The 14929-nt window shown below is 37.4% G+C and overlaps 1 protein-coding gene across 23 annotated transcripts in view; it reads left to right on the top strand.

Annotated features, from left to right (window-relative positions):
* EPB41L2 (erythrocyte membrane protein band 4.1 like 2) overlaps window positions 1–14929 on the top strand; it is a 223899-nt gene that overhangs the window by 164553 nt on the left and 44417 nt on the right. For all 23 annotated transcript variants that reach the window (NR_146620.2, NM_001135554.2, NM_001350314.2 and 20 more), the window contains 4 exons: window positions 3574–3726; window positions 4252–4349; window positions 8227–8399; window positions 13425–13597. Coding sequence is in view for 22 of the 23 variants with exons in the window: in NM_001135554.2 (NP_001129026.1) it covers window positions 3574–3726; window positions 4252–4349; window positions 8227–8399; window positions 13425–13597 (597 nt within the window). In the remaining variant the exon portion in view is untranslated. The remainder of the gene's footprint in view (window positions 1–3573; window positions 3727–4251; window positions 4350–8226; window positions 8400–13424; window positions 13598–14929) is intronic.

Genomic DNA, 14929 nt, shown 5'->3' with positions numbered 1-14929 from the left:
TTCGGTATACTAACGAGAGTCACAGGGTATGAGTTATGAATAGACAAATCCTGTTCATAAAGAAATAAGTCAAAAAGTGAAATGTGTAAGCGCACATCGCTATAGTTGGTTGCCAGTAACAATATCACTTACATCATGGTTCTAGTTTAGATGATTATGTAGTGGGGAGAGTCGAGGAGAATGACAAGCAAGGTGAAATATGAATTTGGTTTTAAAAAATATGTCCAGAGTCAACATTTCCTTATGGTAGCCTGCTTTTAAAAGACCCTGCCAATCTGTAGATGTTGTTTAGAAGCCCAGATTATATGATTTGAGAAATCTCTAGGAAAGCTCCCCACACAATGATGTCTTTCCTCCCTAGGCCTCTGATTAATAATTCTTGCATTTGTGTTATTAATCATACTTCATATTTACAAAGCACTCTTTTTCTCCTCAGTGGCTTCCTTTATTTAAATATTTTTCTTTATTACAAAACTAATACATGTTCATCATAGAAAATAGAGGCAAACAGAAGGAAATAAAGATCACTTAAATCTTTTTATGCAGAAATAAGCATTCTTAATACCTTTTTTCTTTTCTTTTTTTTTTTTTAGACCCCTGGGCAGTTGAATTCACATGCCTTCTAAAAATGGGGTCATACTATGAGCATCATTTTTGTTAGTTTTTTTTTTTTAACTTACTATTATAAGATTTTTCTGTCAGTAAGTAGTCTCTGGCAGCATCATTTTTAACCACTAGATGCTGTATGCCCTTAATTTTAAAAAGTACTTTCATACCATCTCATTTTTTACAAGTATACCATCTCATTTAAAGTTTGAATGTTTTTTAATTTTACAGCTACATAAAACAGTGCAGAGAATGACTTGTTTAAAGCCATGTATTGTTAAATGGTCTATCTGCCTGATACCGTCTGGTAAATCCTAGTAGGAGGTGAAACAGATTGTCTTAACACTCCAGTGTTTTTCAGATCATTTTCTATGTAATGGGGACAGGCTAGGTTAGCCAAGAAACAGAAATAGGGAGGAAGGAAAAAATATGTTTGAGACCAAAAAGAGCTCCCAAACCTCTCCTCCTCTAGACCCTGCCATTCTTACCACATGCAAATCTTGCATCTCTACTTTGTTGATTGTTAGTTAGAAACCAATTCTTAAATGGCAATGCTGTATGTAAGGTTTCAGGATTCTTGTTTTTAATGTTGTCTCTTAGAAAAGTAAGAAATTGTGGACTCTGTTCTAAGTATAATACTCTTTCTTGCTGTGTAGTTAGGAGCAGAACACTAAAAAAATTCAAGATAACCTTCATTCTGTTTATCATCCGATAGACTCCTTAGGTAATATTTGATAAGCAAGATATTTGTGGCTTATTGAAAAGAATATATGTGGCAGTTTAAAAGAACTTTTCATATTTCATGTCGTTTAAAGTTTTGTGTCTTTATTTTTCATTGCCTTAAAATCAGATTTTTTTTTTTAATTAGAAGAGTTTGTAATGTCATATTCATGTTAGGATGAGTTGGAGAGAGTTAAATAAAAGGAATCTCAACAAAGGTGCAGAGAAACCATAAGAGAAGCGGGACACCCGTGGTAGCCCCAGGATAGTATCTGCAGCTATCCTAATCTCTCTAGGTCTGTCTGAAGGAGGGAGGGCAGAGTGGTTTCCAAAACTCCCAAGGAGAGATATGTGTGGAGAGGGCCGTCTTGTGGGGAGCCATTGTCAGAGGGACATAGTCAGCCTGAGGTGACCACGTAGGGAGGGAATCTGGATATTAAACACCCTGACCTCCCTTTCCTTTCTCTCCTGATCCTTTGCAAGAACTCCCTTTATACTGAACTCATTTGAAAGCCAGCCATCTCCATGCATTGCCCCATGCATTGCTCCATGGAGCAGTGAGCAATGCAGAGAAGGTGCTCCTTTCCATTAGTTTATTTTTCTGATTTTGATACCATGTGGCATAACTTACATGTGAAGGATCAAGGCCTGCCTTTTCCTCTTTCACTTCCTACCCTTCATCTGTCGTTTCTATTCACACAAATACTGGTAATTCTAAAATAATTACATAGAACAACAAAAATCAACTGATTTACTTGAATCTGCGTTGTGTCTATTTTTAAGTCAGATAAAATAGCTTCCTTGTCCTGTCCAAAGATTGCTTCAGACTAGAGATGGCTCATTCAATGTTTCAAATGCGGGTTGCCTCCCCACTTGTGGTAAGAACATGCCGTCTCGGGCAATCTTCTGCCTTGCTCCCGGTGGCCATGGGCAGTGATGGTTTTGGCAAACACACCATGGGGTCTGGTGCCAAGTTGCTTGGGCACCTGTGCCTGATTCACCCCAGCTTTTTAGTCTATTCCTAGAGAGAGTTGTGGCTGCCAAGATAAGGGTGAGTAAAGCAATTGATTGGATTTTTTAAAATGGCTCAAGTTGGTCTAATGTAATTTTATTTGTATATATGAATTACTCAAGTGTCACAGCAGAGAAAGCAACTGGCATCAATTAGCTAATACTATACTTTTATTTATAAAAAACTGATTTAAATGGTATCAAAATGTTCTGAGTAATAAGATAGACAAAATGTCCTTTTATTAAATTGGGAGTTAGACTAAATATGGGGTTTGTTGCAACATTTTTTGTGAGAATTTGTTTCGTATTGTTTGTGATTTCTGAAAATGTGAATGTCTTTGAGCGGTAGTCTTCAATTTTACATATGTTGAATGAGAGCCAGCTCTCCTCTTAGAGATAAACAATAATTTGTATGTTTTGAATACATGCATCTTAGATCTTCACTACTTGAAATGTGAGGAGACAGGTTTTCACTTTTGCCTGTAAATTTGTTTGGTTTTTAAAACATAATTTAGGCCTGTGATTATTCTAGATTGTCATCGATTCCAGATTAAAGCTCTAGGGAAAGAAAACTATTAATAACTTCAAGAATAGTCTGCAGTCCTTTGAAACGTGCCAGCCAAAGGAATGCCTAATGAGAACTGGATGTCAGCATTCTAAGTTAATGAAAAACTGCTTGAAAGAATTCAGAGATTTCAGCACTGTCAGCCTGGAAGAGAAATTATCTGCAAGGGATTGGTGTTTTGCAAAATATTGGCATAATTTTAAGAGCTATTAGCTAGGGTAATCCATCTGAGGTAAATGCACCTAAAGGAAAATGGTTGAACACATCTTAGGGTAGGCCAACAGACTGTCCCTGAGGCTGGACTAGCCTACGGGAAAAGCTCATTTTATTTCCCGTATCTTCAGGATCTCTAGTTCTGCTTCCTTTCTTCTCTGTTAGCTCCTACAGTGGAGCTTGAGAACATATGCATTACGCCTTTTGAAGGACACTGTGTCTTATGGTCATGTTGCCGTAACTCTTCGGCAAATCACACCTGATCCCTGAAGATGAATAAATTTAACATGTATGTGTGTGCGCCATAGTTTTCATTAACGTGCGTACTTGTCACTAAACTTTAAATACAAACCTGTTAAACTGTCATTCCTGATCATGATTTGAGGGAGCTAATTAGCTTCTTGATTTGTGTAACTTTCACAGCTCTTAACCATGGTTAATTGGGTTATGCTTGGCAGGACTCAGAAGGTGTGGACATCAAGCTGGGCGTGTGTGCTAATGGACTTCTCATTTACAAAGACAGACTGCGAATCAATCGTTTTGCTTGGCCGAAAATCTTAAAAATTTCCTATAAACGCAGTAACTTCTACATTAAAGTCAGACCGGCAGAGGTAAGCCAAGACATTTCTAATCAGTTGTTGTTAGTCGGCCTGTTTACGACCATGAATTTAAAAATTCTTTTCTATTAATTCTAAAATTTTAAGAAAATAAACTATTTATTCTTCCATTGTAAAAGGTCAGGGTTCTTAATGGTAAAATTGCAGTATATATACGTCTGGTCTGTTTTTAAAAAAAGCAACCATCACGCTTTTTACAAAAAAGAAAATGTGATAAGGTGTGGGCTCGTTTTTTCTTGTTGAATCAATTAAGTTGTGATCATTAGGAAAGCAATAAGATGAGTTTTAGTGAACATTGAAGGATAGTTGGTTTATGTGAGCCGTTGTTACTTGCTTTTTGTAGAAAATAGTATTGCAGTCTATGAAATTCATCTTTATATGATTATATTAGATATGCAATATTTACCTTTTTTGAGAAGAATAATTGCTTCTCACAGAAACATCTGAATGCATGCTTTTCAGTAACTTCTAGTCAGTTCTTAAGGAAATATGCTGATTTGTTTTACGGATTTATTCCAGCTGGAACAGTTTGAGAGTACCATTGGATTCAAACTGCCAAACCACCGGGCAGCGAAAAGACTATGGAAAGTGTGCGTGGAGCATCATACTTTCTACAGGTAATTTTAGGAAAACAGCTCGGAAGCCGGGCATGATCGCACATGCCTGTAATTCCACTGACTCAGGAGGCAGAGGTGGGAGGATCACTTGACCCCAGGAGTTTGAGACCAGCCTGGGGAACATACTGAGACTCCATCTCTCTTTTTTTCTAAGAAAGAAAGAAAACAGCTTGGTATTGCTTTTAGTAACCTCTGTGAATTAGGAGGTGGTAGTGGTGGGGAATGTGGCAGATGCATTAACCCACTGTCTTTGAACTCTTTTCTCCCCTCCTTGCCTCATCTCCTTTGTCTGCAGTCCCTCCCAGGTCCATTTCTGTCCATGCATTGTCATTTATAACTGAGCTGCCCCTGCAGCTGTCTAGAGCTCCACTTTCTGACTCTAACCACCTTTCCTTCCACCACAGCCACACTGCCTCATGCCTGCTACCATTCTTCTTTCCACTATCCCTCCTCTTAGGTTTCACTTCGATATTCTCATCAGCTGCCTCCTGACTTAACTTCTTTCCCAAACCAACTTGAACCCTATGGTCTGACTGCTTTGTCAGGAACGTTCTGACCCCCTCAAACTACTCTCCTCTTTGCACATTTACCTTCTCTGTCTGCTAGTCCTGGATTAGTCCTGTGTCCTGACCTCACCAGTTTTGGACCTGTGCTGTCCAAGTGCTACCTTAAAAATAGTACAACCATTGTGACACATGCAGTTACTCTATATAACAAAAAATAGCACAACTCTATGGATTAGTGCTATTACAGATAAATAATTTCCAGCATGAGCTGGATCCTCAGTGCTGCTAGGCAAGCAATTTGTCTTTTGACTTCCTTTGCCACTCCAAATGCTCATGGTCCTCGTGAGTCCCTAGGCACCCCTGCTTCCTCTTCTGATGCCCTCCACTGTGTGGGTCACTGAAAGAAGAAGCTGTGCATGAGTGTTCTTGGTTTCATGCACCTTCCCTTCTTCCCTTTTGCCTTTAATGAAGCATCGCTCCTCTCTCCTCCCATTCATTCTTTCCCACTTCTCCTGTCTCAAGGAGGAGATAATCATTCCTCTGCTTTGATCCCTCATTTTGTGCCTCTTAAATTATCCTGCTTTGTAAATTATTTGTTCCCTAGTGGGTACCTTTAGGTTCTTTGGCCAATAAATATGTCCACATCTTGCTCTTTAAAAAACAACAACAAATATGTATATATGGTTATATAAGATTTTGTATATAAAATCTTTGATCATCTAACCATCTTTAGCTTGTATCTTGTCTCTTTTTATACTTTTCTTCAAGGACATGTTTTTTACATGTAGTTTGCTTATCTTTGTTTTCTCCGTTTCCTCAGTTTTCTCTCACTGCAGTTTAGCTAGCTGTGTATCTAGATCCTTCATCTTTAAGGTTTTTGCTCTGGACTTATGGTCTAATACTGTTCTACCAAATACGAGCTGTGTCACCGTGATACCAACCTCTCTGCTTCACTTCCATCATCCATATATGATAGTAATACTAGTATCTACCTCATAGGATTGTTTTGAAAATTAAATGAGATAACACACATGAAACAACTTAGAACCATTTCTGGCATATCATAAAATTTATCTTCACCATTATCATTATTCTTCGTTTGGTATCACAGTTTGCTATTTTTAATGTGAATTATCAGCTGGCACACATGATTCTTTCTTGACGTTAAATTGATAATATCTATTTTTCAAGACTAATATGTTAATTTTTGAGGAGAAATATAACTCATAAAATATGCTTGAATCCCTCAAGTTACACTGATCATATAAATCTTTGAAAACTTTATAATTTTTCTTGGTAGCCATAACAAATTTCTCCTCCAGACAACATGAGCCAGCTCATATAAAGCTAGTAGATGACATTTATGACACAGGTCCAAGCTGGGCAGACAACAGCTTTCCCTGTCACATAATGATAAAAAAAAAAAAAAAAAAAGCAATAATCTGTTCAGAAATGGCAAGTGCTAGCATTCATTGAACACTTATTAGAGTCAGACACAGAATTGATTGCTTTATATCGTGGTCTATTTCTCGCCCTAGGCAAGACAACTGATGCTTAGAGATCGGTGCCTGTGGAGGAGCACAGCAGCCAGGCATCTGAGCAGAGATGGGGACCGGGCTTCCTGATTCTGACACCTGTATTCCTCACCTCTGTGCTGTCCTCTTCTTGTATTCTTGTAGCAGGAGTTTCCGAGGTGCATTAGCTGTGCAAAGCCTCAGGCCTCCTCATTTTTGCTAATGTACCATGGACTCCAGTTTAAAAGTAGACCAATTTGCTCCTGCAAACTTTTGATATAATGGTTAACAAAAGCAGTTTTAAATTTTTAAACCTTGCATAACGCTGCTTACAAAGCTATATAAAAGAATATATCTAACACAAAGGGCCAGTCATACTTTGTCTATAGATTGCTTTGAATCAGGTCAGTGGAATTTATTCTGTTTCAGTTTATCATGAAAGGTACAAATGATTTCTTTAGAAAATTACGGTGGCTTGCAGATTGAAGCCATTAATCTGTAAACAGATCTATTAATTGATAGCCAATCAGCTAGATTGATACTAGTGGAATAAGAATGTAGTAATAAAACTGATATGGCCGGGCACAGTGGCTCATGCCTGTAATCCCAGCACATTGGGAGGCTGAGGCGGGTGGATCACAAGGTCAGGAGTTTGAGACCAGCCTGACCTGGTGAAACTGTGTCTCTACTTAAAAAAATACAAAAATTAGCTGGGCATGGTGGCATGTACCTTTGTAATCCCAGCTACTCAGGAGGCTGAGGCAGGAGAATCACTCGAACCCGGGAGGCGGAGGTTGCAGTGAGCCGAGATTGCAACACTGCACTCTAGCCTGGGTGACAGAGCGAGACTCCTTCTCAAAAAATTAAATAAGTAAGTAAGTAAGTAAGTAAGTAAATAAATAAATAAATAAAGCTGACACCCTTGCTTGGAGCATTTAATAGAGCCTGTCACCATTCTGAGTGTTGTACAGGGATTCTTTTTTTTTTCTTTATTGCAGAAGATGATTTCTAAAAAAATTGTACAGAAAGTCTAGAAATACTTGAAATGATAGTGTTCTTTAAGAAATCACTCTTCCATAGTAAATGATAGGAAAAGTTTCGGTGGAATTCTTCATGTTTTTGAGTTGTCAACAAAAGTCTTCCTATTTAATAAATTAAGAGCTCTGAGATTATGTTTCTGTTAAGATATTTGTCAACTTTTGATCAAAGAGAGCAAAATAATTTCAGTTGAACTCCCAAAAAGATTGGTCCATTTGCTAAAAACATGCTTTTGTATAAGCCTAGAAATATTTGACATCAAGAAAGTTTGATTTCATTCTTTATGAACCCAGGGATTAAGCAGTAGAATTGTGCTGGCAAGAAGGGGTGTTAGCCATCTCTACAGATCCACTGTGTGGCATGTTCTTCATGGGAAAGAATCACTTAATGGAACAGATTCCTGAGTTAGATGTTTTCTTCCCAGGAGAAATAGGCATAAATATTAAGAATTACTAATGGTAATGGATTGTTACTTGGCGCTTATAGCTAGAAGCAAAAATTCAGACATGTGTTTATATAAATGATTTAAGCTAATACAAATAAATAACCTTTGATATACTGAGAACAGCTGTTTCTTTGCTTAGGTGGAGAAGAACATTATTCATGAATACATGAATGTGGATTTACTCATCACCATCATAAAGCTGTGTGTGTAGGAGGGTTTATAAATAATGTTCTTTAGAAAGTTTAGTTTTTGAGTAATCATACTTAAAATGAGATATGAAAGTACATAGCTTTAAAGTTTTTTTAAAAAATTCCGTAAAGTCTAATTTTGCTTCCCCTTTCTCTCTCTCTTTTTTTTTTTTTTTCCTCCCATAGGCTTGTTTCTCCAGAGCAGCCACCAAAAGCCAAGTTCCTGACCTTGGGGTCCAAATTTCGCTATAGTGGCCGCACCCAAGCACAGACCCGCCAGGCCAGCACCCTCATAGATAGGCCAGCACCACACTTTGAGCGCACTTCTAGTAAACGGGTCTCCAGGAGTCTAGATGGAGGTAAACACATTTATGATAATTTTGATTTTCATTCATCTTTCTCTAATCCCATGAGGTCAGAAAATGTTAATCCAGTTAATAAAGCCACCAGAAATACCCTACAGGGATAGCCATTTTTTCCCGAGTAAATAAAATGCTATTACTTACACCTACAAGAGAATAATTTTGTTGTGTTTTAGAGTTGTTACTCTTTTTTGAAGCTGTCACACTTTTTTCTTTTTTTTTGTTTTAAAACAGGTTGAACATTCCATATCTCAAAATCTGAAATGCTCCAAAATCAGAAAGCCTTTGAGCACTGACATATGCTCTAAGGAAATGCTTATTGGAGCATTTCAGATTTCATATGTTCAGATTTGGGGTGTTCAGCTGCTAAGTATATATATTGCATATTTCAGAATACAAAAAATATTAGAAATCCGCAACACTTCTGGTCCCTAACATTTCAGATAAGGGATACTCAACCTGTATTGTCAGTGCACACAAATATTTGTTAAGAGTTCTCATTTATGAGATGTTGGACACATATGTTTTACTGATTTCTCTTGATCATGATGTGTTTTATGTGGTTCAATTTCCTGAACCTTTTAATTAATGGCAAAATGTAATTCTAAGGATTTTTTCGTATGGTAGCATATGAACCTTAATCCAGACGAACATAAAACATTCCCTGCATCAGCAAATTTTCATGAGTGAAACAACTTACCAAACTTTCCATCTTATGAGAAAGCTTTAGTAGCTTCAAAGGATTCATTTTAAATACAGCATTTTAACAAAAAGTAAATATAATGTGTTTGTTTGTTCTTTAGCCCAAGGGAAAATATGTATAAATGTGAATTTTTTTCTATTAGAATTCTAATTAGCTACATTTTGTAGTTTTATATAAACTACACATGAAATAAGTTTTATATAAACTACACATGGAAAAATATATATATAAATTACCTGGTCCAAAATGGGTTAATAATAGGTTTTCTATAAAAGAGCTAAGGTTAAATTTATATTAGAATGCCTTGTGAAGGAATATTCTTTCTTTGTAATAGAAAATGATTAGTATGGATGATTTTCTACCCAAAGAAATAGTTTTCCAACATTTTTGGTTGATTGAACTAAAATATATATATAATAATAATACTAAATTTGAAAATTGTATTTTACTACTAGTTATTAGCAGAAACATTTTTTCTTGTCTATTGTATTTTTCTGAAATATATGCTCGAACAACTTATATTTTAAATAATTGGAGTAAAACAGATCAAATAATGCTAACAGATGAAAAAGCTTTCTTAATAGTGAAGGATTCATATGGATTGCCTTCATCTGCTTTTTCTAGAAGAAAAACTTGGAAAACAAATGCAGGTGGACACATAGAGATATTTGCCAGGATTTGTTGGTTGGGATTTTGGTATATAGTTATTAAATCCTGAAATGTGCAAGGGGGTGGTGAACTGTGCTTTAAACAAATTTCCAGAATTGTGGAAATGATTTAAATTCAGTTGATTGTTAATGTACTATCACTGCTAAAGTATCTTTTAGGTCTTCAACAACTGAGCACTTTTCCAAGTAAATCTGAAAAATGTGCCAACCCATGTAAATATTTCCCAAGCCTTGCCCCTTGCCACAGAGAATTTATACAAGTGCCGAATAAATGCAGTCACTGTTGTTTAGTACCCTGAGAGAAATGATTGCTCTTTCTGGAACACTGTCTGTTTTCAGCATTTGTTTGAAACTGTGAGGCTGTATAACTCTTATATTGCAAAGTTTAGCATTTAAAAAGAGCAGTAAAACAGCATTTTCTTTGAGGTATACAAACTGTGCTCAAGGAAATCCACCATCTTGTATGGGCAGTTAGTGCAGAGGGTTACAGGAGGTCTGTATCTGAAAACAATGATTTTTCCAAGTGAAAACAACAAACATGGCACAGTAATCCATTATTTTTCTCTTTGTGTTTTGGAGGCCGTAATTCATCAGATGGGTAAGTCATCAAAAGGATTATTGTGTTATTGTGAAAAATAGGAGGCTTTTAACGCCAATACATGACCAGACAGCCAGTGAACTCTTTGATTAGGGCTTATATTCTCCGTTTTTTCCCCCAGAGCAAAGCTAGGCTGTAACCTGGCACTGAGCTTTTATTTTCTTTACCACTCCTTATCAACATACCATTTGTTGTTGTAGTCTTCATGTATTGTATTTTCTTTTTCCTGTTTACTTTTTAAGTAAGGCTAGAATAATTTAGGTATATTAGCCTCACTTTAAAGTTTGGCAAATTAAAATAAATCCTCTTATGATTACATAGCAAGTGAAAAGTGGGATTCAATCTAAAGATCAAATATCAAAATGAAAATCAATCTAGAACAGCTGTTTTAGGACAGGGAGTCCCCTCCGAGATTAGAAAATCAAACCCCAAAGAAGACAAATCAGTCATTTAAGAGAACCAACAACCAAGATGCATTTGGGGGTTGAGGAACCAAGTGATTTCCTGAAGGTGGAAAGTAAAATGAACAGGGACGTTACTTAAATAGGATCATCAGGGAAGGAAGGCCTATTTGAGGAAGAACCAGGTCAGTTGAGACTTGAAGGATGAGAAGGAGGCAGCCAAGGAAAGGACAAGAGATATTTAATAATAAAGCATTCCAGGTAGCAGAGGCGGCAACGATGAAGCTATAAGGTGAGGGAGAGCTGGATACATTCCTGGAACAGAGAGAAGGCAAGTGCAGTCAGAGCTTAGGAAGTGGCGGGAGAGGTAAGCCTGGGTCAGATCATGCAGGGCCTTGGAGGCCATGGTGAAGAATGTGGTTTTTATTTATTCCATATGCTCTAGGAAACCATTGAAGGGTTTATGTGGGTTTATGTGCCCGCAAGAGCACAGCGTTATCTTTTAAAAAAAAAATCATTTGATGCAAGAGAACAATTAGATTGAGCAAGGAAGCAGGCAGGCTGGTTAGGAATGGTCCAGGTGAAAGCGATGGTGGTCTTCCCTTTAGTGGGAGTAGGCCAATTAGCCATTTGGTATCTTGGGCTCTGCCAGGGCCTACAAGCTTCTCAGATGTTTAAGACCTGAATAAATGTATCGGCTTCAAAATACAAGAAACTGCATGCTGAAATTAATAAGTGTTTAAAAGTATGCAAAGTCAGCATTTTGTCAACTTTAATAACTTTTAATTTGATATTCAAATTTTAATATCATTACATTTGAAGCCATTTCTAGGTCAGATTTTTTTCATTTTGCAAAATTTCTGAGTATGTATAATAGGTGTGTAGAAATCATAATTGTAAGCAAAAGAATTAATCATAGCCATATACTTTCCAAGGGAAACTTATTTAGATCTTGTTAGAAGTTTCTTTATTAAAAAAAACTGCTGGAGGCTGGGCACGGTGGCTCACACCTCTAACCACAGCACTTTAGGAGGCCAAGGAGGGCAGATCACAAGGTCAGGAGTTTGAGACCAGCCTGACCAACATGGTGAAACCCCATCTCTACTAAAAATACAAAGAATTAGCCAGGCGTGGTGGCGCGTGCCTGTAATCCCAGCTACTCAGGAGGCTGAGGCAGGAGAATCGCTTGAACCTAGGAAATGGAGGTTGCAGTGAGCCAAGATTGCACCACTGCACTCCAGCCTGGGTGACAGAGCGAGACTGTGTCTCAAAAACAAACAACAACAACAACAACAACAAAAACCGCTGGAAAATAACTATACTTAATGTAAAATGCAAATTTATTCTAATGTTGACTATGATTTGATATGGGCATTCAAAGTGTGAGTATTTAAGGGCTGGGAAAATCTCCACAAGGTGAGGTAGTAGAATTAGAAATGGAAAGAACTGGCCACATTTAGAAATATATACAAGGACCTTGTTGGACTTGCTGGTGTTGAGGGGTGAAGAGTCTTGGAAGATGTTCACGTTCCCAGTTCAAGCAAATGGGAGCAAATATGAGAAGAGCGTTTTGTGAAAAGGGCAAGACTGGAAAAGAATTAAGTTTTGGACAGGGCAGGTGAAGGCTGTGGATTGAGAGGTAGCTTGGGATACATGTATTCAAAGTGCTTGAGGCCTCTCAAGTTCAGTATGGTAGTTCACACACAATCCTGCCCTCCAAGAGCTTGCAGTCTAAAGGTGTTTGTGTTGACCAGGCTTCCCTTAGGACATGGAACCAGAGTAAACTTCATGGTGTCCGTAGAGTACTTTTTATGTAAAGTGAAATGACCTTGTGGTAGTTCTGTTGTTTGGGGAGGAGCTACAGATGGACAGAGGTCCTGCCACCTACTACTCACTTTGCCTTGCTGATGTTTGAGGTAGTCTTGGTTTGATCTGCACTATGACAGAATTTTCAATACAATGTACATTTCTGCCTATCTGTAGGAGAGAAGAAGAGAGCACATGAGGGCCAGGTTTTCTGGGATGAGGGAGGTGTCTATGTATAGATTTACCATAGTTCGTGTTAAGGCATTGAGGAAGGGGATTAAAAAATAAAAAATATTAAACATAAATATAGAAGTTAAAATCCCTAAAATTTACCTTTACTGTCTTTTATTTACTATTTTTTCTTTTGAAGGGTATTCAAATTAAAGGTTCCTTTATGGAGCAATTCTTAAAACTTATTGGAGCAAATCATCTTAATAATTGCATAATCATTTGTTGCAATAGATAGATTCAGAAATAAATCGTAGGAGACCAAAGAGTTAAAATACTGCTTACCTTGTAATTCTGTTTGCCTTAACTCTGGTGTTTCAGCTGGTCTTAGAGCTCCTCCTACTGGCCAGTTCCATGATCTGAGTTTATCCTTCCAATACCTGTGGTTTGAGACCCTGGTGTAGCTCAGTGCATTAAAATTCAGAATACTTTCAGAATTTGGTAAACGTTTAAAAATTAGTTTATTTTATATGGTGGGTATTTTCAGAGCTCAAGCAATGTCTCTGTTCCTGTTCACTATTTATATGCTGCCTGTTTATCTCCTGTAAGGGGGAAATTTTCCATAAAGTTTATGATTCATATGTCCTAAAATAATCCAAAATTGTCACTCTTTACTAGCTCCGATTGGTGTCATGGACCAAAGTCTTATGAAGGATTTTCCTGGCGCTGCTGGGGAGATTTCAGCCTATGGACCTGGACTTGTCAGCATTGCCGTGGTACAAGATGGGGACGGCAGGAGGGAAGTGAGAAGCCCAACTAAAGCCCCACATTTGCAGCTCATTGAAGGAAAGGTATGGTAAATTAGCACAGTATGTGGTTTTAAACATTTACTTAACCTAGAGGGTATCTGTTGTATTTTCTGTTTCAGAAATCAAGTATTTAAAATTAGTTGTTCTATGTTCTCTGCTGGTCATTTATGTTTTCAAATATGCATAGTGGTCTCTAACCTTTGATTGTTGTTCAAAGCAGAATATTTCAATGTAAGTTATTTTAATGCAAGTAAGTAATTTACTGGCCTTTTTGACTGTCCTCATAATCACCTTATCTAATTGAATCCTCAAAGTAGAAAAGCTATGATGATTTGAAATTTATTTTTGGTTTGGTCCAAGTAAAATTTAAAATGTAGCTTCTTGATTATTTTAATTATTGACTTGAATTTTTTTACATCACCAAAGATAATCTTTATGAACAAATGTATTCATTAATGATCTATAATTAATGAAATTCTCAAGAAAAGGTAATTGTTTTGTGAATAGAGAGTGAGAACATGGTGTGTTGCTTTTGGCTTTATCTTGTGCGTACACCATGGTGAAATGGAGAAGTAACCCATATTGTGTTCTCAAATGTGTCACTGTTATCTTTTGTTACCTTGGGCAGTAACATCACTTGAATATTGATTTGAGAAGCCTTTGAATTCTTCAGATCTCTTTTCTGTGTCTGCACAAAGCGACTTTTTTTTGCATGCAACATTGGAAGTAAGCACAGATAAAAACAAATGAATCCATCATATTGATTTCATAGTGTTTTCTATTTTATTTTTTTTATTTTTTCGAGATGAAGTTTCGCTCTTGTTGCCCAGGCTGGAGTGCAATGGCTCGATCTCAGCTCACTGCAGCCTCTGCCTCCCAGGTTCAAGTGATTCTCCTGCCTCAGCCTCCCAAGTAGCTGGGATTACAGGCGCCTGCCACCACGTGCCCGGCTAATTTTGTATTTTTAGAGAGACGGGGTTTCACCGTGTTGGTCAGGCTCATCTTGAACTCCTGACCTCAAGTGATCCACCTGCCTCAGCTTCCCAAAGTGCTGGGATTACAGGTATGAGCCACTGAGCCCGGCCGTATAGTGTTTTCTAAATTTTAACTTTGAAAATTTTTAAAAGACATAAATGTATAAAGACATGCTAGATGAAGTAGCTGCCAGTGCCTCAGGAATTCCTACACTGATAGCCTCTGAGGCCCAGCATGGAGAAGGTCTCAGGGACCACCACATGGGCCCAGTCTTGTGCCACAAGGTCAAGTGCTACCTGTATAGCAAGTGACATCAAATCATCGACATTCCATCGTTAAAGAATTTGTGACTGTCATATGGAAAAATTATTTGGTGGGGAATTCAGATAAAAATAACAG

Source organism: Homo sapiens, chromosome 6 (genome assembly GCF_000001405.40).
Source record: "Homo sapiens chromosome 6, GRCh38.p14 Primary Assembly".
Taxonomy (NCBI): Eukaryota; Metazoa; Chordata; class Mammalia; order Primates; family Hominidae; genus Homo; species Homo sapiens.
Note: the sequence above shows the minus strand (reverse complement) of the source record. Positions and strands in the feature narration are given on the sequence as shown.